This window comes from Homo sapiens, chromosome 6 (genome assembly GCF_000001405.40).
Source record: "Homo sapiens chromosome 6, GRCh38.p14 Primary Assembly".
Taxonomy (NCBI): Eukaryota; Metazoa; Chordata; class Mammalia; order Primates; family Hominidae; genus Homo; species Homo sapiens.
In genome coordinates, this window is record NC_000006.12 from 64572206 (window position 1) to 64596444 (window position 24239).

At 34.9% G+C, this 24239-nt stretch overlaps 1 protein-coding gene across 2 annotated transcripts in view, besides 1 other annotated feature; it reads right to left on the bottom strand.

Moving 5' to 3' along the window:
• The window catches only part of EYS (eyes shut homolog), a 1987247-nt gene that overhangs the window by 852226 nt on the left and 1110782 nt on the right, over window positions 1-24239 (bottom strand). For both annotated transcript variants that reach the window (NM_001142800.2, NM_001292009.2), the window contains exons 25-26: window positions 20912-21104; window positions 18018-19784 (exon numbers count right to left, since the gene is read on the bottom strand). In NM_001142800.2, coding sequence (NP_001136272.1) covers window positions 18018-19784; window positions 20912-21104 — 1960 coding nt within the window. The remainder of the gene's footprint in view (window positions 1-18017; window positions 19785-20911; window positions 21105-24239) is intronic.
• Window positions 23789-23958: an enhancer, noted in NCBI's record as "experimental_92402 CRE fragment used in MPRA reporter constructs". NCBI's record gives its function as "activates a minimal promoter by MPRAs in K562 erythroleukemia cells, with activity observed for both the introgressed and non-introgressed 6:65305972 variant alleles {active_cell/tissue: K562}" and the evidence as "EXISTENCE:reporter gene assay evidence [ECO:0000049][PMID:34662402]".

A 24239-nucleotide genomic window follows, 5' to 3' on the forward strand; every position in this document is an offset into this window, starting at 1 on the left:
CCTACGATAAAATTCAACACCACTTCATGGTAAAAACTCTCAATAAACTAGGTATTGATGGAACGTATCTCAAAATAATAAGAGCTATTTATGACAAACCCACAGCCAATATCATAGTGAATGGGCAAAAGCTGGACGCATTCCCTTTGAAAACCAGTAAAAGACAAAGATGGTCTCTCTCACCAAGTTCTGGCCAGGGCAATCAGGCAAGAGAAAGAAATAAAGGGCATTCAAATAGGGAGAGAGGAAGTCAAATTGTCTGTGTCAAATTTGCAAATCAAGTCAAATTGCAGATGACATGATTGTATATTTAGAAAACCCCATTGTCTCAGCCCAAAATCTCCTTAAGCTGATTAGCAAATTTGGCAAATACTCAGGATACAAAATCAATGTGCAAAAATCACAAGCATTCCTATACCCCAATAACAGACAGAGAGCCAAATCATGAGTGAACTCCCATTCACAATTGCTACAAAGATAATAAAATACCTAGGAATCCAACTTACAAGGTATGTGAAGGACCTCTTCAAGGAGAAGTACAAACCACTGCTCAAGGAAATAAGAGAGGATGTAAACAAATGGAAAAACATTCCATGCTCATAGACAGAAAGAATAAATATTGTGAAAATGGCCATAATGCCCAAAGTAATTTATAGATTCAATGCTGTCCCTGTAAAGCTACTGTTGACTTTCTTTACAAAATTAGAAAAAAAACTACTTTAAATTTCATATGGAACCAAAATAGAGCCTGTATAGCCAAGACAATCCTAAGAAAAATGAACAAAGATGGAGGCATCATGCTACCTGACTTCAAACTATGCTACAAGGCTACCATTACCAAAACAGCATGGGACTGGCACCAAAACAGACATACAGACCAATGGAACAGAATAGAGGCCTCAGCAATAACACCACACATCTACAACCATCTGATCTTTGACAAACCTGGCAAAAACAAGCAATGGGGAAAGGATTCCCTATTTAATAAATGGTATTGGGAAAACTGGCTAGGCATATGCAGAAAGCTGAAACTGGATCCTTTCCTTACACCTTATACAAAAATTTACTCCAAATGGATTAAAGACTTAAACGTAAGTCCTAAAGCCATAAAAACCCTAGAAGAAAACCTAGGCAATCAATACCATTCAGCACATAGGTATGGGCAAAGACTTCATGACTAAAACACCAAAAACAATGACAACAAAAGCCAAAATTTGCAAATGGGATCTAATTAAACTAAAGAGCTTCAGCACAGCAAAAGAAACTATCATCAGAGTGAACAGGTAACCTACAAAATGGGAGAAAAGTTTTCCATTCAATCCATCTGACAAAAGGCTAAAATTCAGAGTCTACAAGAAACTTAAACAAATTTACAAGAAAAAATCAATCCCGTCAAAAAGTGGGCAAAGGATATGAGCAGACACTTCTCAAAAGAAGACATTTATGCAGGCAACAAACATATGAAAAAAAAGCTCATCATCAGTGGTCATTAGAGGAATGCAAATCAAAACCACAATGAGATGCCATCTCACGCCAGTTAGAATGGCGATCATTAAAAAGTCAGGAAACAACAGATGCTGGCGAAGTTGTGGAGAAACAGGAATGCTTTTACACTGTTGGTGGGCGTGTAAATTAGTTCAATCATTGTGGAAGACAGTGTGGCAATTCCTCAAGGATCTAGAACCAGAAATACCATTTGACCCAGCAATTCCATTACTGGTTATATACTCAAAGGATTATAAATAATTCTACTATAAAGACACATACACATGTATGTTTATTGCAGGACTATTCACAATAGCAAAGACTTGAAACCAACCCAAATGCCCATCAATGATAGACTGGACAAAGAAAATGTGGCACATATATACCACGGAATACTATGCAGCCATAAAAAAGGATGAGTTCATGTCCTTTGCAGGGGCATGGATGAAGCTGGAAACCATCATTCTCAGCAAACTAACACAGGAACGGAAAATCAAACACCACATGTTCTCACTCATAAGTGGGAGTTGAACAATGGGAACACAGGGACACAGGGAGACGAACATCACACACCAGGGCCTATTGGTGGGTGGGGGCAAGGGGAGGGATATCATTAGGAGAAATACCTAATGTAGATGACAGGTTGATGGTTGCAGCAAACCACCACAGCACTTGTATACCTATGTAATAAAACTGTACGTTCTGCACCTGTATCCTAGAACTTAAACTATTACAAAAATCAATTAGTTAAAAAAATATTTTCAGTTAAGCTGTGGTTGAATACAAGAACCAACCACTTCCCCATGTAATATTGATAAGCATGGAATGCATGAATCATAGAGTCTCAGGGTAAGAAGATTTGCTCCAAAGCTACCTTGAGTCAATTAATGGGATTCAGCTGGAAACAAAGAAAAACCTCGAGGGAGAAGTACCAGTTCTAATAAAATGCTCACAGTTAAAACAAAAATAAACAAAAACTGATATATTCATTTCTTATGTTTTTAAAGTTCAACCAAACATAAAATTGGGGGCATAATTCCTGTGGGGTTAATAAAATAAGTACATTTCTTCAGCCAGTTGATGAAAAATATGTAATTTCATTTACAGCCCCTGTTGGTTTTAAAAACGAAGTGTTTTTCAAGTATACACAATGATACTTATATGCCTTCAGGTATAAATATTAAATGATCTAAAAGAACACAATTTTGCTTTATTGATTTCAGCTGTCAAAATGATAAAATACAACTTTATTTCCTTCTATTACAGAAAGCTGGTCAGGCTTTTTAGAGAGTGATAGAGGCACTAGTATCAAAAGAAGAGAGAAAGTACATAGAGAAGATAAAAATGCATCCAATGTCTAACCAAAATGGTAAACTACTTAGGGAAACTTCACCCAGAATAAGAGTGTGATTGAAAATCAAACAGAAAAGTATAGCACCTAGTCATAATCTTAAATCAAAAGAGTTATTCTTATCATCTGATGTTTCCAAATTATACACAGAATTTTATCCACATGAAAATATGGATTGAATTTTCATGTCTTGTTTCTTCAGGATTAAAATCCTTTTTAGAAAGTAAAACATGAAATTTTCAAAGAAAAGGGAAAATAAAGAGCATGTTAAAAAAAGAAGACATTATTGGAATACAAAAGTTAATGTGGTTTCTACACTTGAAGTTTCTTAGAATTGAAAACATAGAAAGGAGGGGTTAGATATTGCATAACCTCAAGTTGTTAAAGCAGGATGAGGAGTAAGGCTCTTAGGAAGGAAGAGACAGCTTCATGGCAGAAGCAAGGAGTCCAGGGAAGGTGGTAAGAACTGCCTCAGAGCATCAGCGAGCTAGTGAAACATTAAAACGTATAAATAGCAATTAATAAGATCTAGAGAAGCATTGGAAGCCCCTGGCTAAAGTATGGTCAGGTACACAGAACCACAACAGAGGCAAGAATGTGACCATGTTTAGAAATCAAATGTCAGAATATGGTAAATTAGTCAGCAGTAAGTGAAGAAGTCAAAGGTATGGTACATAGTATTAAAATTCAGGACAAGCACCAAGTTTAGGTTTCAAGTACTCTAAGCTTAAGGAACTAGACAGGTAGTAAATGAGTTGTGACAGCAGTTTATAAACTAAAGAGAGTATATGGAATTAAATTTAAAAACTGAAAATTTGGGGACAGGCTAACATTTAGGTGGCACTGTGACAGCAATTTATATAGATAAATTCATATAATCCTCAAAATGACTGCACAAAATTAGTGGTAGCCCTATATTATAGATGAGCAAACTGAGGCTATGTCATAGAACTTTTCTAAAGACAAAGAGCTAGTAAGTTATAGAATGGAAATTCTGAGATTTATTCACCTTCCAAGCTTCTGTCATATTACCAGGCACTGAAATTGAACAACTGAAGACCTTTAAAAATCTTGGAAAATGCATAAGGACTTTGAGCTAACATTTGCTTTAGTGTGGTAGCATTTACATCATCCTTGACTAGCCAGTGAAAAACCTGTAGTAAGTGATCTGAGAACAGTGAGAGTTCGCCAAAATCATGTAAGCAACATTGTGACTTGGCGATCAGTGCGTTTCCTACTTGTTCTTTGGAAGTAACTTCCACAATCCATCTTTTTGGAGAATGAGACTCATTTGTAATGAATATATGCCCAACCCCAGGTTTTTAGAACGTTAAAGAAGTGAAGTGACTTTAAAAGTCCTAAGTATTCTTCAGATGAGAAAATTGAGATTAAGACAGGTTAATATACTTAAAATTTTAAAAATAACATCTGTCCAGGGCCAGAGGGGGAAAAATACCAAACGAACATGTTGAGAGTGTCTTTGTTCACTTGTTCCCACTTAGATATTTATGGGGAAAGGTCTTTAGAAGACTGAAGAATATCAACACATCTATGGTGCTATGTATATTTATTCATGAAATTTTTGTCTGAATCACAAAAATCTTGTATTTCTTTTAAGCTTTCAAACAAAATAATTTTATTTAAAAATAGTTTCTTATTTAAGAAAATTACTAAATTATGAAGAATATAAGCAATTGTTTTTCATGATGTATCAGCCTTGTGCTTAATTTGCCATTAGGAGGAAACAATAATCTCTAAGAAAGCTAATTTAGTATTGTAGCTTTTTAAAATGGATTGGATTATATTCCCCCAGTGACATGTTAAAGTCTCAACTTCCAATAACTCAGAATGTGATGTTATTTATAAATAGAGTTATTAGAGATGTAATTAGTTAAGGTGAGATTGAGACTGAATCCATTATGACTGGTGTTCTTCTAAAAAGGTGATGTGAAGACACACGGGGAGAATACATGTAACGGGAGGCAGACATTGGAGTGATGCAGCTACAAGTCAAGAAACATCAAAGCTTGACCACCACCAAGGAAGCTAGGAGGGGGCATGGAGGGATTCTCCCCTGTAGGTTTCTGAGGAAGCATGACCCTGCTGATACTGTTTTTTAGTACAGCTAGACTCCAGAATTGTGAGACAATAAATCTCTGCTGTTTTGAGACAATCAGTTTCTGGTATTTTATTGTGGCAGACCTAGAAGACTAATATGTTACATTGTTCATCAAAATATATTCACTATTCCAGCATTGGTGTCACAATTAAGACTTAGAGTAAATATAATCAAATGTCATGTCTTCAACATCCACCATCCTCTTTAAATATTTTATTTTATAGTTCTGTATTTTCTAATCATTACCTCTGCTCTCTCTCTCAATCGTTCAAATTATATTTAAGTCTTTCCACTCCATTTTGACTTTGTTACATAAAAATGCACCCTACACACACACACTCACACACACACACAGACATATGCATAGAGTATTTCAGTTAAAAATCACTATGATCAGGGCATTCATAGCTTATGTTATTAAATATTATAGTTAAGTAGAGTTCCTCAATTCAACGTGAAGATACAAATCAATTTCCAAGAATGAGTATAGATGCACAACACTAAACATATATTTTAGAATCAACACGACTTATCAACTCTTGGCAGATGCAGAAATCAGAGGTTCTTTCTGTGCCTCAGGGTTGTAATAAGGAATGTCATTATACACTTATCAGAGTTTCGCTTTATAATAGAGCTGTTGTTAGAGACAGTTTTATAGCTGATAAAAATTTCTGATAAGCCTACTTGTAGCGTGTCTAAAAATTGGTTTGCATTATTTTCCTTTATTTGTCCTTAGAGGGTGGCTTAAGATGCTTCTCTCTGCTTCACAAAATTGATTATCAAAATAAAAATAATCCAATGCATCAGAAAATTACATTGACTCAACCTTCAAAACATATCCAGAATCTGACCATTTCTCAAGCTTTCATGCTGACAGACTAGACTGAGCCATGGCCATTTCTAGCCTGGATTAGGGCATTAGCCTCTTAACTATTCTCCCTTTGTGTATTCCTGCCCAAACCTCACACACACTGATCTGTTCTCCATAGTATAGCCAGAGTGGTCACTCAAATAATTTCACTTCTCTGCTTAAACCCCTGGAATAAGTCTTTATTTCCACTCAGAATACAAAACAAGGTCTTAAAATTGCCTAAAATTATCAGAATCTCCTCTCCCCCATTATATATGTGACTTCATCCTCCACAAGTCTCTACCTTGCTTGCCTGCTCTTCCACACTGTCGCCCCTGATGATCCCAGAAAATGTCAATACATGCCTACATTAACACAGTACTGGCTTTTTGCTCTGTGGGCTTTTCTTCTCCCCTATAGCTACACAGCTAGCTCTCATCCTCTTCAAGTTGTCTTCGTCAAAGAGATCAATCCTGATGGTAGAATGTAACAGTGTTGTCACTCACTCTTCAACCCAGAACTTGTGACACCCCACACTTGTTCTACTTCTACTTTTTCTTTTATCACATTCTCTTTCTCTCTCTCTTTGTGTGTGTGTGTGTGTGTGTGTGGTGTGTGTGTGTGTTTTATGCTTAGTGTTTATTATCTGTCTCTCTCCACTAGAAGTTAAGCTCCAGAGGGCATAAAATTTCTGTCTTGTTTTCTTGTTTAGCAATGTATCACTAACTATGGAGTCCAGGACATGGTGTATTCACAATAAAATATGCTGCTAGTGAAACATGGTTATTATGGAAGAACACATTTTATGATAATCACTATTACACTTAGGCGATAACACTGTTGAGGGGTTTAAGTAATATCTTAATTACTGACATTAAATACCATTTCAAAATATTGCTGATTGATGCCTATTAAAGTGACAACTTGTCATACTGCACCACATGCTTCAAGTATAAATAGATTTGGGAGGCAACAGAAATATCTTTTCATTAATTTTCTATGTACAAGTGACTTACATTAGTAAACAGAATTTAAAAAGTCTCTGGAGAAGCAAGTTCTTCTCCTCATTCGCAGAATTAGGTATGTTGGTCCTACCCATGGGCGAAAGAATGTGTCTCAGGTCTTTATTCCTGTTTTGATCCCTGCTCCCTTGCTTTAATCAATTCTGCCCTGGCCTTTCTCAATACCTGGAGTGAGAGATGCTCTTCACTAGAAGACCCAGCTAAGATCTGCCCTAGCAGGAAAGTCACTGAAGGCCTGAAGGACAAAAATGATAAGCAGAACTTCACTTCCTTCCTCAAACAGTATATTGGAAGGAAAAATCCATGATATCTGGATTTCACACACTCAAATTCCAATGCCAACTCACTGGAACCTGAGCCAAGATAGTCTTTGCCTTTATATCATCTGGAAAGTTGTATAGAGACCAAATCTTCAACCCCAGATCATTCTCATGTATGAAGCAGGTATTAAATAAATGCCAGTTACTATTATAATTATCCTTGAAACCAGGAATTTTTGTCCTCATTTCAATGATTTCTAAAGATGCCCACTGAGTATCTGTGTTGTTTCTTGGTCAAACCATTTCCTCCTTATAAATGTCCTCCACAAGCCTTATTATCACTGGACCAGGTCACAGACAGGGTTATTGGCTTAGGTCCTCTGCTTAGAACATGAAAATGCCCATTCTCATTCATATTCTCAGTGTAGAACTGATATTAAGTCCTGAAATTCTGCTGTACTGAATCTTTGCTCAAGAACAGACAGCTCTTTCCTACGTGAATCCTGCTTTCTGGACATCTGGAATCAAGCACTATACTGGCCGGTTACTTTGAAATAAGCTATGATCTCTTACCTTTACATCTCTCACTAGCTGCCTGGAGTCTTGTGGTATCAAATCATTGACCTGTTCAAAGTCACTCTTAGCCATCATTAAGTTGATAATTTATTGGGATTACTGTATATTGAGCCACCCAACTTCTTCCTTAGGAACCAGGCACATTATATTTATTTATTTTTTTAAGTCCCAGGGTGTTTTCCATTCCTAGACTTCAACATTTTTATAGCTTATGTTGCTCTGTTCATAGAAGCTTTCATAGCTAAGCCTTCTTAACCTATATTAACTTGATAAATCTTTGTGACAATTTTTAAGATAGATGACATACAGCCTTTCTGGGATCTCCATTCTTACAGCAAAGCTTTGGATAAAGTATTATGTCTATTAACATATAACTCCTCCTGAAAAAGCCCAAATACTGCTGAGGGAAGCTAACAGAAACAACAAATGACCAAAGTCAAGGTGACATTGAGTTATGCACAATATTCTATAGGAGAAGGATAAAGGGAAAAATTAAATCTTCAAGGTTTTTTTCACAGAAGTCTTCCAATAGGCAGTGGCATTTGAATTGGGCCTTAGGACAGGAATTCTGATAGACTGGGCAATAAAGGGCATTCATGAGAAGGGACTATGAGCACTGAAGTGCAGAGTTGTGCAACTGTATGACAGGACTGAGGAATAGTGAATCATAAAACAGGTTAGAAATGAGTGGTAGAGAATGACTTTAGATGATGCAATCAAGGTTGAATATACTAGTTGGAATGCTTAGGATTTTAAACCTTTTCTCATAAAAAAGAATAACTCTTGTAAATTTTAAAATAGAGGAAAGAAAATAATATGTTTATGTGTATATTATTTTTTAAACCTCTGAAAATAATGTGGAAGGCGGAATAGAAAGACTAGAGACTAGAAATTGTCCATTTAGAGAGAACTGCATTATTTCAAGAGAGATCATACAAGCCAAAACTGGAGTTGTAATAAACAGACATAAAAAGCTGAATGAGAGAATTCCTAAATATAATTCATAGTATTTTTGATAAAGTTTACCCTGAAGTTTAGAAATCCAGATGGATGTAAATTTCATATGAGAGATGAATCAGGGAAAAGGAAATATGGGTAGGGAGAGAGATGAAGATTTTTGGTATTGGGAAGATTACAATTTTATCTCAAGTTTAAAGTATTGAGAGACTTACAGGTGAAACACAATAAATAGTACAAAATAAGAAAGTATATATCTCTGCAGATATTTGAAGCTATGAGTGAAAGTGCAAAGACAAATTGCGGAATAAAGGAATAAGAATTGACTAAAGAATTAAAGATGAGTGGAAAGAGAGGAGGAAGAGAGAAAGAGAGTGATGGGAAACATCTAAGAGCAAATGTTGGAGGATTCTAACATTTAAGTGGTCAGCATGTGAAGAGGAGTCTGTGCATAAAACTGGGGTGGTAGAGTAGGGAAGGAAATTACAAAATAGTGGCACCATGGACCGAGCTACATACAAAATGTTCTGGGCTGAGTTGAAAATGAAAATCAGAACCATTTGTTCAAAAAAGTAGAGAAAATGTACCGTTACAGGTAATTAGATATAAAGTTTTTCCTTTGTTTTATGGTCTTTATCTAATCATTTTATGGTATTTTATTTGCTGTTTAATGTCATTCTATGTAAGAAAAATTTTCAAATATTGGCATAAATACTACCATTTATCTTTATGTTGCATAATGCCAGCTTTAATGACAAATATAATTTAAGAATTAAACATCAAAATTACATAATTCATATTTCATGGTTCATACGTGCATGTTATTCTTATCACAACAGTGGAAACACTGAAGCCAGTGGCTTGTATAATGCCCTTACGTTGTACTCGAGTCTCACTGAGCTATTACATACTGTGGCTCCACCAAAAGTCAAGTCCTTCTGAGGTCACACACCCCTGAAGCCCACACTGGATAGATCTAAGGGCTTCACGAAGGGCAGATAATGAGTGTCTACCACTGTCTATGTCTTTATGATAGGGCGCCATCAGAGTGGTAGAGAAGACAGGGACATTGTAACTTGAGATAGAACAATAGGATTAAGTAGGTCTGAAATCTGAACTTTTCTGAGTCCATTTATGGCTGATACTAAAAACTTGGCCAGAAAAGTAAAATAAACCAAACTGAGAATTGTCAAAATTTACCCATATCGTTATATCAGATGCTGGCAAGTTTTCCTGTAAAGAAGAACATAGTAAGTATTCTGGGCTTGCTATGTGTGACACAACCTCTGTCACAACTATTCAACTTTGTTGTCATTGTACAAAATTAGTCATAGATAATATGTAAACCAGTGGTCTCCAACCCCTGGGCCATGGATTGGTACCTGTCTGTGGCCTGTTAGGAACTGGGCTGCATAGCAGGAGGTGAGCCTCCTATCAGATCAACAGCCACATTAGATTCTCATTGGAGGTGAACCCCGTTGTGAACTGCACATGTGAGGGATCTAGGTTGCATGCTTCTGATGAGAATCTAACTAATGCCTGGTGATCTGAAGTAGAGCAGTTTCATCCCAAAACCATCCCCTAGCCCCCCATGGAAAAACTGTCTTCCACGAAACTGGTCCCTGGTGCCAGAAATTTTGGGGACTGCTGATGTACATGAATTGGTATAGTTATAGCTGTGTTCCAGTAAAATTGTCTTTCCAAAAACAAGGAATGGGTCAGATTTGGCCTGCAGGCTATAGTTTGCCAATCCTTGGTCTTTTTTTTTTTTTTTGCTTGCTATTTTTCCAAGGTCATGTACCACTGAGATGGGTATTCAGCAATGAAAATGAAAGTATTTCAAAACCAAAGAACTGTAGAATGCACAAAAAAGTTTGTATTATTAAACTATCACAATCACTCTACTGTATTCTCTATAGAATGTCAATAACACTATTCCATGCAGTGACTAGTGGGAATGAAATGCAAATAATGAATGATCTGGAATAGTACAAACTAGCACAACACAAAAGCACGGGGCTTTCATTTGTTAGGAAGGTGCTAGCAGATGTACAGGAAAGAAAATGCCAGGATTTTACTTCTGATCTTATTGCTCCTGTGTGTTGGGTTTCAGCAGATACAGTTGGCCCTGTAGGAACACCAGCAGCATTCATTGCTGGGTTAGTTCCAAATGAGGTTAATTGTATATATTTTAAGTAAGTTAGAACAAAAGTGACATTATATATTGTTACAAAAGATTCTGTCTTCCATGCAAATACTTCCTTGGCCACAGGAAAAGGGTTCTGAGTGACTTTTAATGTAGTAAAGTAACTTGGAGAGGTATGGTTGGAAGTGTCTACATCTTACTTGTAGGGTGGACATCTTCTTTGGTGTTTAATAGTTTTAATCAGAAGGAAAACTTTTTCCTTATTTGTTGGTTTATAAAATGTAAATATAGGAATGAGGAGTTTGAAAACCCTGGGACATAAACATTATTCAAAAAAAACCCTAGGATATAAACATATGATTCAAAATACGTAGAAAAGAAAAATGATGTTATTGTGTTAAAGAGTTACAGCTCATATTTGAACACTTCAGGGCCCAAATAAGCAAGCAGGCAAACAAACAAACAATCATAGTGGTGACTGGTGCCTGTCACAAAGTAGACCATCAATGAACACTTGAATATTGAATAAAATGATGTGATTAGGCCAGGCACAGTAGCTCACGCCTGTTATCCCAACACTTTGGGAGGCCAAGGTGGGCTTATCACCTGAGGTTAGGAGTTCAAGACCAGCTTGACCAACATGGAGAAACCCCATCTCTACTAAAAATACAAAATTAGCCAGGCGTGGTGACAGATGCCTGTTATCCCAGCTACTCAGGAGGCTGAGGCAGGAGAATTGCTTGAACCTGGGAGGCAGAGGTTGCAGTGAGTCGAGATTGCACCATCGCACTCCAGCCTGGGCAACAAGAATGAGATTCTGCCTCAAAAAAAAAAATGTGATTAATTCCACTCAATTTTTCTTCTAATTTCACTAAAACGTAAATAATACTGTAGAAATGTGATTAATGATTTTAACATAAACATAATAATTTCATTAAAAATATGTAGATGGCATGTTTGGACATAAAATATATCTCTGTGTTCCATGCAAGATATATATTATACTTTTTTCAATTGATTTCCTGTCAACTATTATAATGCTATGACTTACAATAATTTTCTATATGAATATATTTCTCAAAATTCTTGTAGTTTATTTTAATCTAACATGAATAAAATGATCAAATATGCTTTTTGAAATATTCTTAATATCTCAATAAAACACATATTTGCAAAAACATATTTTGTTCTGATAAAAAGTATATAGTAATATGTAAAGCATGTAAAAAATAAAAGTAAATATTAAAAACAACATTAAGGTTCTGGAAGAATTAGGTTGCATATGTGTGGTGTGCATGTATACATGTATTTAGAATAGGTTGTATACATGGTTTTACATTTTCTCCTATAGGAAGAGAGAAACAATTTTCCATGTCAGTATTTAATAAAGCCACCATATTATGATAATAGTTGTTTTCCAATTTTTAAAATTTTAATATAATATTTAATATATCAGTAATAATTTTCTAAAATTGAAATTATATTTTAATGCTTTTAAATTTTTTATTAACAAATAATCCTCCAGAAAGATGGTGACAACTTACTCTCCCACCAATAGAGTGCCTCCACTGTGACTTTCCTAATTCAGACCACTACAATTGGAAAAAAAAAGACTAACAAATAGGTAGTTAAAATTTGTATCACATTTTGAATTTGATACTCTGAGTTGCTCTTAATAATTTTTGAATATATTTTACTGCATATAGTTTTTATTTGCAAATTGTTTTACTGTTCTAGTGGTCAGCATTTTGCCATCAATTTAAAAGAACACTTAATAATCATATGTCTGTCTTGTAAGGTAAAACATGGCTGCATATATTTTCTTTAACGATGCTTAAGATCATTTTTTGGCTTAGAAAGGTATTACTTTTAGTTAATGTACTATAAAATGTACTCACTATCAACATTTAATTTATAATTTTCTAATTTTGCTTTCACAGTTAAAAATTTTCAATTTTGAGATTAAATAAATACTATTATTTGACCCAGCAATATCGTTACTGGATATATACTCAAAATAAAATAGTTTTACTAAAAAGACACATACATTTGCATGTTCATTACTGCACTATTCATAACAGCAAAGACACGGAACCAACCCAGGTGTCAGTCAATGATGGACTGTATAAAAGGTGGTGCGTATACATCATTGAATACTACACAGCCATAAAAAGAACAAAATCATGTCCTTGGCAGCAATAGGGATACAGATTGAGGCCCTTATCCTAAGTGAATTACCACAGGAATAGGAAACCAAATACTAGATGTTCTCATGTGTAAGTAGGAGCTAAACAGTGAGTACCTATGGACATAAACATAGGACCAGCAGACACTTTGGACTAGTAGAAGTTGGGGAGGGAGCAGGTAGGGGTTGAAATACCTACCTATTGGATACTATGCTCACTACTTGGATGATGGGATCTGTACCTTAAACCTCAGCATCACACAATACACCATGTAACGAACCTGCACACATACCCACTGTATCTAAAATAAATGTTGAAACTTTTATTCAGATCATTTAATGTTTTGTTTTGCAATTCTATGTGGTTATTCCTAACACAATTTATTTTGGCCTGAAACGTAGAGAACGAGTTTTCAAAATAAAACAATGCATCAACAGAATTCAGTAAATAATCTTTCTCTATGGACTCACAATCACCCCTTGGATGTAGTTTTATATATAGCATGTATATCTAGACTTTCTATTCTATTTCCTTTTATCAGCATTTTCTGGAGCAATATAACATTTTAACTACAGTTTTTATGTGTTACAAAAACATACACATTCTCTTATTGCCCTTTCTATTCAACACTTTCTTGGTTATACTTTTGCACTTTCAAATAATATAAGTTCTAAGTATTATCTTATTTGGCCTTGTTTGGAATTTCTTTATACTTTTCAAATATTGTATGTAACATTAACAGCCTACATTTCTGAGTGCTCAAATTAATATATCACATGTCCATTTATATACTTTTATGGTTAGTAAATTTTACCTTTTAAATTGTTCTGTATGGTTTTAATAAGCAGTAGTTTGAACTTTTTGTTGCTTAATGCTATGATTTGGATATTTGTGTCTACTCTAAAATTCATGTTGAAGCTCAATCACCAGTGCTGCAGTATTAAAAAGTAGGGTCGTTAGGAGGTGTTTAGACCATGAAGTATTCTCTCTTCTGGATGTAATTAGTGTCTGATAACAGTGCTTGATGGGGTGAGTTCAGCCCTTTTGGCATTTCTTCCACATGAGGACACCTCATTCTGGTGAAGAATGAGGAAACAGACACTCATTGAACTTGCTGGAACCTTGATCTAGAACTTACCAGTCTCCAAAACTGAGAAATAAATACCCATTCTGTGGTATTTTGTAATATCAGCACAAATAGACTAAGACACTTAATGCATTTTTTCCATATTTTCTAAATTATATGTAAGAAATACATGTACATGTATACATAAGGCATTTTGAACTGTTAATGAGTTTAATGAAACTATCTCTTCTGTTTCAGCATTAAGACACTGAATATTGTTGTGAGCTATTTCTATATTGGTATGATTAGGAAATATTAATAGATGCCAAAAAGATTTGAAGATGTAAATCTTTTCAGAAAGAAAAAACAAGAGATAAAATGAACACATTTAATAAAATATCAATTGAGTGTTAAAGTCTTTTTATTTAATGATGCAGTAAATTACGTTATTAAATATCTTACCTTGACTTATCCTTTTTATTCTTGGAGGAAATGCCCCTTTGTCATTTAATAGAATTTTATCTGCAGTGTACATTTTTAAATTTAGAAGTTACAACTAAAAGTGGAATAAACATAACTCAAACACTCTATTTTTCCTATCCATTGCTATTTGAGAATATTTGGTTCATGAAGCTCTGATTGCTCTTTCTTATATCCTTCCCAAATAACCAGTAGAAAAAATAGAGTTATATTGCTGTAGGAAAAGAATGACAAATTGCTAGAATATGTTCCCTTTTTCTCTTACATTTTATTTCCTTTGTATGTTAAATTAAATCACACAAAGTCATGCAGTTTCAAAGACGTCAGAGAAAAGGACTTTGATTCAATTTAATAGAGCTGTCACCGTAATACAGGGCTAGCAATCATGCACTTCAAAAAGTACACAAAACTCAAAGAATCATGCTGATAGAGGTGGCTCCACGATGCCTCACTTTGTTAATCGCAAGAGGTTGCTCAGAGTGTCATTTTTTTTTCTAGTGGTCCAATACAAAGTGGGAAAGTCACCAGCAGCAAGGGACTCTAAAATTATAGGCTTGCTACCTTAGCTACTTTTCTATTATGGAAATACCACATATGGTGGAAATGATAGCACTCAGTGGTCTACTTTGGAAGCAGACAACTCCCTTCATCATTTACACATTTGTTCTATATTTTGGCAGTGTCACGGAAACCATTATGTGTAAGAAACAGGTATATATAATGGTTCAATCTTTCAAGATTTTTGCATTGTAGAACATTAGACTATGGCCTACTATATCATTTCTCTACATGAAGAGATTAGACCAGAGTTTTTATAAAGATTATTTCCAGTAATATGTTTTAGTGACTTTATACAACCACTATTAAGCAGCTATTTTAATGCCATTTAGTGTTAGATGTTAGGTGTACAAGAGTGAACAACACAGAAATCATATTTATGTAATGCTTAGTTGTTTAACCTGGTGCTGGCTATCATTTTAGGTATCTGCACGTTCCTGGAACCCAATCTTTCATGGATACCAAACAATGACTACTATGGCAACATCTGCATCTAAATTGTGTAAAACAATTTTAAAAGAAGAAAATACTATAGTAACCAAGACAGTTTGGAATTGGGTAAAAGAAAGACATATGGATTAATTGAAAAAACTAAGACTCCAGAAGCTGACCCGCATGTATACCATTGATTGATTTTTGACAAGGTGTAAAAGTAATTTCATGGATAAGGAATAAGCTTTTAAACACAAGGCTCTGGAACAATTGTATCACCAAGTTTTTCTATTTTCCTTTCCTTCATTGCCAGATAATTTTAAGATGGAGTCTGGAAAGAAGATTAATTAGACTAGATGGTATTTGTCAGTTGAGAAGTTAGAAATAAGTTAATTTGCTCAACAAATAAGATGGTTATCATATTCATGCTAAGAAAGATCAGAAAAAAATTCAAATAATCACTGTGATGAAAATTTTAGGAAGCCAATTCAAAATTAACTAGGATTGCCTAGAAGAATTAAGAGCCTAGGTGAGGAATTCCATAAGAATTTTAGTGGAACAAGCCATTATTATGAATTTTGACAAAATACAAGCTGGAAATTGACAAATGTAGGACTCTAATACATCAACATTTGCTCTTCCCGATCTTCTTTCCACCCTTGTTTATTCTACCCTCTAAACACTAGAGATCAATTCAAAGGACTGGCTTTAGCCTCCAGCTACTGAACAGCTTTGGTTAATAAGAAGCACCTGCAGAAGACTAGAAGACAACAGGAAAGGGGTTGTCTAGTATTTTCTAGTCTCCTCCCTGTCTGTTCTTATTGGATTACCTGTGTCCTACTTCCAAAGGCCACACCTTCTGTAACCTAGAAGCTTTCCATTTTAGGTTCTGGTCCTTCTCTTACCTCTGTCTCTTTAGGCCCAATGCTGGTTTTGCTGTTATTGGTCTCTTGAGAACTGTAAGGTCCTTAGTTTTCCTTAAACTCTACCCATATTTTAATAAGTAATTACCATATTAAACTCTCCCCAAATACCCAGTTAGACTGTTTATTCGCTGATGTGACTCTGATCAACACAGTGGATGAACATATTGGAAAATGTCAACAAATGCCTTGCAAATGATTTATTATAATGACTAAATGACTAGAAAGGCAAGAAAAACTGGAAGGAGATTAGGAGATGTAGGTGAGGTCAAAATAAAGAATAGTTGCAATGGGAATGAAGAATGGGAAAAGTGAAAAGCAGCAAGATTATGTTTAAAAAGACCAAATTTTAGGTTTTATTTACTAATAATGAAGAATTTGTGCCCTGATTATTTCCAAGAGGTGGCTATGGGATGAATTGTTTGAGAGACGTTTTAACTCTGCTACATTTACCAAGAACCTTATATGTGAGAAATGATGTATTAGGCATTGTATGTGAGTTATAACAGATAAACCACAAGCTATCAGCCTGTAAAAGTACAAGGACAATACCACATTTAAATTTGTAATTAATTTTATCATGGTTTTAAGAAATTTTGTAGACAAAATTATATCATATTGAATATATGATATACCAAATAGAATGACTTGTTCTTTCATGTTACTGAATTTTCAGCCATAAATTACACACCTAAAACCTTTTAAACGTTGGGGTAATATATGAAGCAAAAACACACAACCATACATACACAGACACAAACCACTATAAGTTTATTGTCAAAGGAAAATTAATTTCACTGCCACAAAGTAACACTTGAAAATTCCACAAGATAGAATTTCTTAAAATAATGAAAAATCTTATCTTTCTGGTAAACACAATTCTTTAACCTTTTTCCTTTTTTACATCCTTACCAATTTGATAGCAATTACAAGGGGAGAATAGTGATTTAAAATACGCTTTAAAGTAAGAACTGTTATATGAGAAAACTGGCTTGTCATTAATATATCAAGGCTCTGAATTCAAATTCACAGATATTATCTCCTTCAATTTTTGCATAGTGCTTTTGTTAAATAAAATACTTGAAATTAACTTATATTCTGAATTATATAAAATGAAACAAAAAACTTTAAATTTAAAAATGATATACCATGCCATAGAGGATAGGAAATCTCAAGAAAGTTCCAGTGATTTCCTCTTTCCCATATTAAAAAAAATGCTACCACTGAAGATACCGTTAGAAAGAGTATGTTATATTGTGTTCAACCTGACAAAGAAGCTATTTCAAGAAATGAGAATAATAAAAGTTATTTCTAAACTTTGAGAGATCTGTCATAATGAATTGAACTAGTTCAGTTTCTGATTGCTTGACAGCAGTATAGCTGTCTCCAACCTACTACTGTATTGATCTGGTAGCCTTTGTGGCAGTGCATAAAGAATAACCATCTGTGTCAGGTACAACAGCAGGTGCCTTCTCAATTGAACTGGCTGCTGCCCTGATTACAATGAGGCTGTTCAGAGCACCCGGTGACCATGACAGGCTCTTTCTTCTCTGTAGAAAAGAAACTCATTTCTAAAAGTTTACTGAACAGAAACTGAGAAACTCACCAGAAATCATCAGCCGTTGAGGTGCCAGAATGGATTCCAGTGAAGACAAAGTAAGAGATCTAGTGAAGGGAAGATGCCGGCTTGCAGTGGGAAATTCCTGATATTGCACACTAGGCTGAAGTTCCCATTTGGACCATTCTGAAGAAGTCTTGACCTCTTTTTTAAGAGAGGTCATATAATCTGTAAAATATGGCCAATCTGGCCTAATTACAGACATGGAGGAAGACGTCTGTATTGAAAGTGCTGGAGTTGCTGAAACTGTATAAAATGCAACATTGGTGGTGACTTCTGAAAAATCAGGCACTGAGCCTGTCAATGGTGGCAGATTATTTTTGAAGTCATTTGCATGTGTAATTTCTGAATATGTCTTTAAAGTAACATCCGGATAAATTTGTAAGTTTAACTCAAAATCCAGAGAACTATCACTTGGGTGAAGTTTGAACAGTGTATGAGATCCTTTACTTTTTTCCATGTCCAATAAGCTCTCTTGATTTAGTACCTCAGTGGGTCCCATAGTTATGCCATATTGTCTTATTTTCAATAGTTTTAAAATGTTTTCTGATACTGACAGTTCATCAGTAGTCATTTTTGAAGTCAAATCAGAATTCATCAAGTCTGAAGAGATAGTTTGTGAAGGGACAATGGATAAACAAGTCTTATCCAAACATAAATTAACATCCAAATTACTTGATAGGGTAATGGATTCTTCCAAGGATGAGGATAAAATTGTTCTTTTTGCACTCTTTTTAGAAGGAAATAAAGATGGCACTTCTGTGAATGCCACTGATGGTGTTATTTCAGTAGCAGAAGAAAATGAATGCCCAGAAGTGATAGTTTGAGCTCCCATTAGTGCATACCAGCTGGCTAATATCGCTGAGTTCATCCAGAATGTCTCATAAAAGTGGGACTGTTTGCTATGCAAAACTTGATCTGAGAATTCACGAGAGGATTTTATTTCAGTCATAGAACATGTTGCACATGTTTGGCTTAATTCTCTTAAAGAATCAGCAGCCTGTGATTTGATGTTTGTGAGTCTCTGGTTGCTTGAAGCCTCAGTAATAGCCTGATATTCACTGGGATTGAAGGCTTTTGTACTGAACCGGTGCAGAGCTGATGAGTTTAAGATGGTTACCTGTTTAGATATAATTACCTTAGCAGGAAAAATGGGAGACATCGAGGGGCTGAGCAATCTCCAGTGCTCTCTTCTTGAAATTAAAGAATCAGCTGAATATTCTTCAATATCCTCTTGAGCCCCCCTAGAGACAACTGGAGTTGCACTTATGGAGGCAGCTATAAGCAGGAATCCACGGGAGAGTAATGACTGCCTGTTTAGCTCAATATCAGCCCCTGGAATGCTTCTAATTACTGAAGTCGTTGGGGTAGCAGATAAAGCAACAGTCTGACAGTTCTCAAATAATAAAGATTGTGTAGGAAAAATAAAATCTGACATTAAGGAAGACATGATAAATGGGGTCCTTGCTCTCCTATCAGGAAAAAAGAAACCTAGTGTGGCTGCTGAAGTTCGAATAGGCATATGTGATACCGATGTTTTGTCCTGGACAATTTGTGCTGGGTCACGAATACCAAAATTCAGGAATCGAGAAGAGGAAACATCTGCGGAAGAAAGAAGACTGTGTTTTGCTGAAAGCTCTCTAGTGACAATCAGTTCTTGGAGTAAGTAGCTTTCCAAGGGTGTGCTAATTCTTAATGTTGCCAAACCAGTGGTTGGGAGAATGTCGTGCTTGACAATGCCTGTCTGTTTTGGACCTACAAAAAGGAAAAAAGCCAAAAAGGTTAGAAAAATGAATCAGAAACGAACCACTTTGGCACTGGGATAAATCTCAGGCAAATTGCACTGGCACCTTACATCCATTATATGTAGACAAATATGGTTCTGTAAATCATATTTCTAATAAAAGTACATGAGGAGTTTAATGATTTCACAAACTGCATAAATGCAAAGATTCCTATTATTTACACTCCATGGGAGGGCTAAAGTTAGAACAAATGGCATTACATAGAATTGACATATTCCCAACTAAATGACTCCTTTGAATAAGAACACATGAAAAATTACAACTCTTTGTCATTGACACAACCAATGAATGTTTGACCCATCGGGTTAGAAATGTTAGAAATACCGTTTTACTTCCTCAATAGGCAAAATGTTCTGTTTATATTAGATAACACCATATTTCAATTTAATTTTTTAAAAGAATAGAAATTACATAGATGAAAAATAGACAAGGTACATTTCTACTTAGAATACCCAATAGCCTTCAAAATTATTTTTTCTTCAAGAATTCCTTGCTAAGGGCTACAATTCTTACTCTGATTATCCGAAGTGGCATTGGCTACATGAAGAGTAAATTTGGAATTTAATATACAATGTACTGTTTATAATATGACATCACTTGATTTAGAAAGTTAAAGAATTGGACATGTAAAAAACAGCCTGAAGTTGTTAAAATAATTCACAATAGGAAAATAAGCACATATCTTTTATCTGAGTGTTAGTCAAATAATTTGATAGGAATATAAATTTACCTTAATGACTCAGAGAATATGAAGTAAAGACACATTGATGCAAGTAGCACAAGGCCCTTTTAAAACAAAATGTGCTGGGATTGAGGTCCAGTTGTCTATTCGAATTTACACAGTGGAATAAAAACTGTTAATTTACATTTTTTTACTGATCCAGAAATAGTATTAGCAAACAACATTGTTTAAAACAAAACTTAAAACAGGAGTCATAACCAATAATGCTTAATTTTACACCCCTAAAAATCATGTATCTCAGAAAAAAAAAAGATTTTAATAATGCAGAAAATATGCTTTTACCACACAACTTTTTCAAACTCAAACTTCTTAATATCTTACCCACTTCTACTTACCTTGATCAACTGGGTAAGTGTCCATTATGGCTGGTATTCTAGTAGCCTTTATAGATGGAAAGCTGCTGACCAAAGTCTCAGAAGGGGGAATTGTATATGTCTGTGTGGAAATGGGATCTGTTCTTTGAAAGATGGGAGTTAAACAGGTAATTCTCCTTATTTCATCACCACAAAGAAGCCCAATGGAGCAGGTCTGCAAATGACAATTACAGTAATTAAATTAAGCTCAGTTTCTTTGTTCCTAAGAGAAATTGTAAAGTTTGTTTTGAGATCCATTTGCATTTCCATAGACATATTGGATAGCTCAAATAAAATATTTTACTTGAAAATTAAATCTCCATAGTAAATTTTACCCATATTTCAAAATGGACTCAATCCTTTCAATTTGAGATATGCACAGTTGCATGCCCAAATTTATTCTTAATTCCTTTAATTTTAAGTCAAAATACTATTTTTACTTTTGAGAATATAGTTTTCCAATGAAGAATTTGTACTGTATGGTAATTAATGTGGATATAAAAAAGAAGTCACATTACAAATTATAAAACTTTTCTGCTCTAAAAGTCAAATTTAGTTGGAAGCTAATGTAAAATGCAGTATCTGCAACAGAAAATTTGAAAACATATTCTTGTGATTTGCAAATTATTTTAGTTTGTATTGGCTTGCAGTAGGAATGATCTTTATGTGTTTTAGTTTGACATGAAAAGGCTATTTCTACCATATCCTATAAAATAGCTTTCACATGAAGAAACTGTGAATGAAAATTGCGATAATGTATAAATAAGTATAAATGGACCAGAGAGATACGTTTATAAATGTAGAGTTAAAAACAAGTTATACTATATGAATCATTTTTATTTGTAAGAAAATAATATTTCAAAATGATTTTAAAATACTAATACATGTCTATTTCCTAATAATAAAGACATACCTAATAGGCATCCCTGCTTTAGTGTTCTAATATTTGTTAAATATTACATCTAATTTGCAGAACACTTAAGTCTTCTTTCAGATGTGGGTGGTGGTTGTTTCACAGTTCCATATTCTGTAGTCACTTTCAACTCACACCAAAAAGTTGTATAAATGTCAGATGATTCCTAATGTTAGATAATTCGCAACAAAGAAAAGCCCAGGACCAGGTGGCTTTACTGCTGAAATTGATCATACTTTTAGGAAAGAACTAACACCAAGTCTTTGCTATTGTGAATAGTGCTGCAATAAACATACGTGTGCATGTGTCTTTATAGCAGCATGATTTATAATCCTTTGGGTATATACTCAGTAATGGGATGGCTGGGTCAAATGGTATTTCTAGTTCGCAACCCAAATGTCCAACAATGATAGACTGGATTAAGAAAATGTGGCACATAGACACCATGGAATACAATGCAGCCATAAAAAAGGATGAGTTCATGTCCTTTGTAGGGACATGGATGAAGCTGGAAACCATCATTCTCAGCAAACTATCGCAAGGACAAAAAACCAAACACTGCATGTTCTTACTCACAGGTGGGAATTGAACGATGAGAACACATGGACACAGGAAGGGGAACATCGCACACCGGGGACTGTTGTGGGGTGGGGGGAGGGGGAGGGATAGCATTAGGAGATATACCTAATGCTAAATGACGAGTTAATGGGTGCAGCACACCAACATGGCACATGTATACATATGTAACAAACCTGCACATTGTGCACATGTACCCTAAAACTTAAAGTATAATAATAATAAAATTTAAAAAATTATATAAAAAAAAGAAAAGAACTAACACCAATTCTTCTCAAGCTATTACAAAACATTGAAGAGGAGGAAATTCTTCCTTACTCATTCTATGAGGCCAGCATTACCCTGACACCAAAACTAGACAAGAACATAAAAAAATCCACAGGCAACTATCATTGATGAACCTAGATGCAAAAGTTCTCCCCAAAACACTAGCAAACTGAATACAACAACATATCAAAAAATAATACACTATGATCAAGTGGGATTTATCCCAGGCATGCAAGGATGTTTCAACATATGTAAATCAATAAATGTGACATATCAATCAACAATATCAAGGACAAAATCCATATAAGTATCTCAATAGATGCAGAAATTAATTTGATAAAATTGAATATCACTTCATAATAAAAAGTCTCAACAAATTTGGCATTAAAAAATACTTTAACATAATGAAGGTCATAAATGACAAACCCACACCTGAAATCATATTAAATGGGCAAAAGCTGAAACCCTTTCCTCTAAGAACTGTAATAAGACAGGATGCCCACTTTCACCATTGTTATTCACCATTGTCCCGGAAGTGCCAACAAGAGCAATTAGGAATGAGAGAGAAATAAAGAGCATTAAAATTAGAAAAAAGGAAGTCAAACTGACCCTCTTTGCAGAAGACATAATCTTATATATAGAAAAACCTAAAGACTCCACCACAAAATCTCTTAGAGCTGATGAACAAATTCAGTGAAATTGTAGAATAAAAAAATCAACATACAAAATTTAGCATTGTTTCCATACACCAATAATGAACTATTTGAAAAAGAAATTAAAAATGCAATCCCAGTCACAATAGCCTCACAAAAGAAATACATAGGAATAAATTTAACCAAGGAGGTGAAAAATCTGCAAGGAAAACTACAAAACACTGATGCAAGACATTGAAGAGGACAGAAATGAAGGGAAAGACATCCCATGGTTATGGAGCAGAAGAATTAATATTATTTCAATGACTGTATTAAACCATTCTGCATTGCTATAAAGAAATATCTGAGACTGGGTATTTCATAAAGAAAGTAGGTTTAATTGGCTCTCAGTTCTGCAGGCTTTAGAGGAAGCATGGTGCTGGCATCTGCTTGGCTTCTAAGAATGCCTCAGATAGTTTACAGTCATAACAGAAGACGAAGAGGGAGGAGGCACATCACATGACAAAAGCAGGAGCAACAAAGAGAGAGAGAGCCAGGGAGGGGATGGGTAGGGGACACACACTTTAAAATAACCAGATCTCACAGGAACTCACCAACTACTGCAACACCAGCAGAAAGTGATGAGGGATCCACCTCCATGACCCAAATTCCTCCCCCCAGGCCACATCTCCAGCACTGGGGATTGCAATTTAACATGAGATTTGGGCAGGGTCAAATATTCAAACTTTATGAATGACCATGCTATTCAAAGCAATCTACAGATTCAAAGAAATCTCTATCAAAAGACCAATGATATTTTTCAGAGAGATAGGAAAAACAATTCTGAATTTATATGGAATCACAAAAGATTCTGAATAGCCAAAGCAATCCTAAGTAAAAAGAACAAAGCTGGAAGCATCAT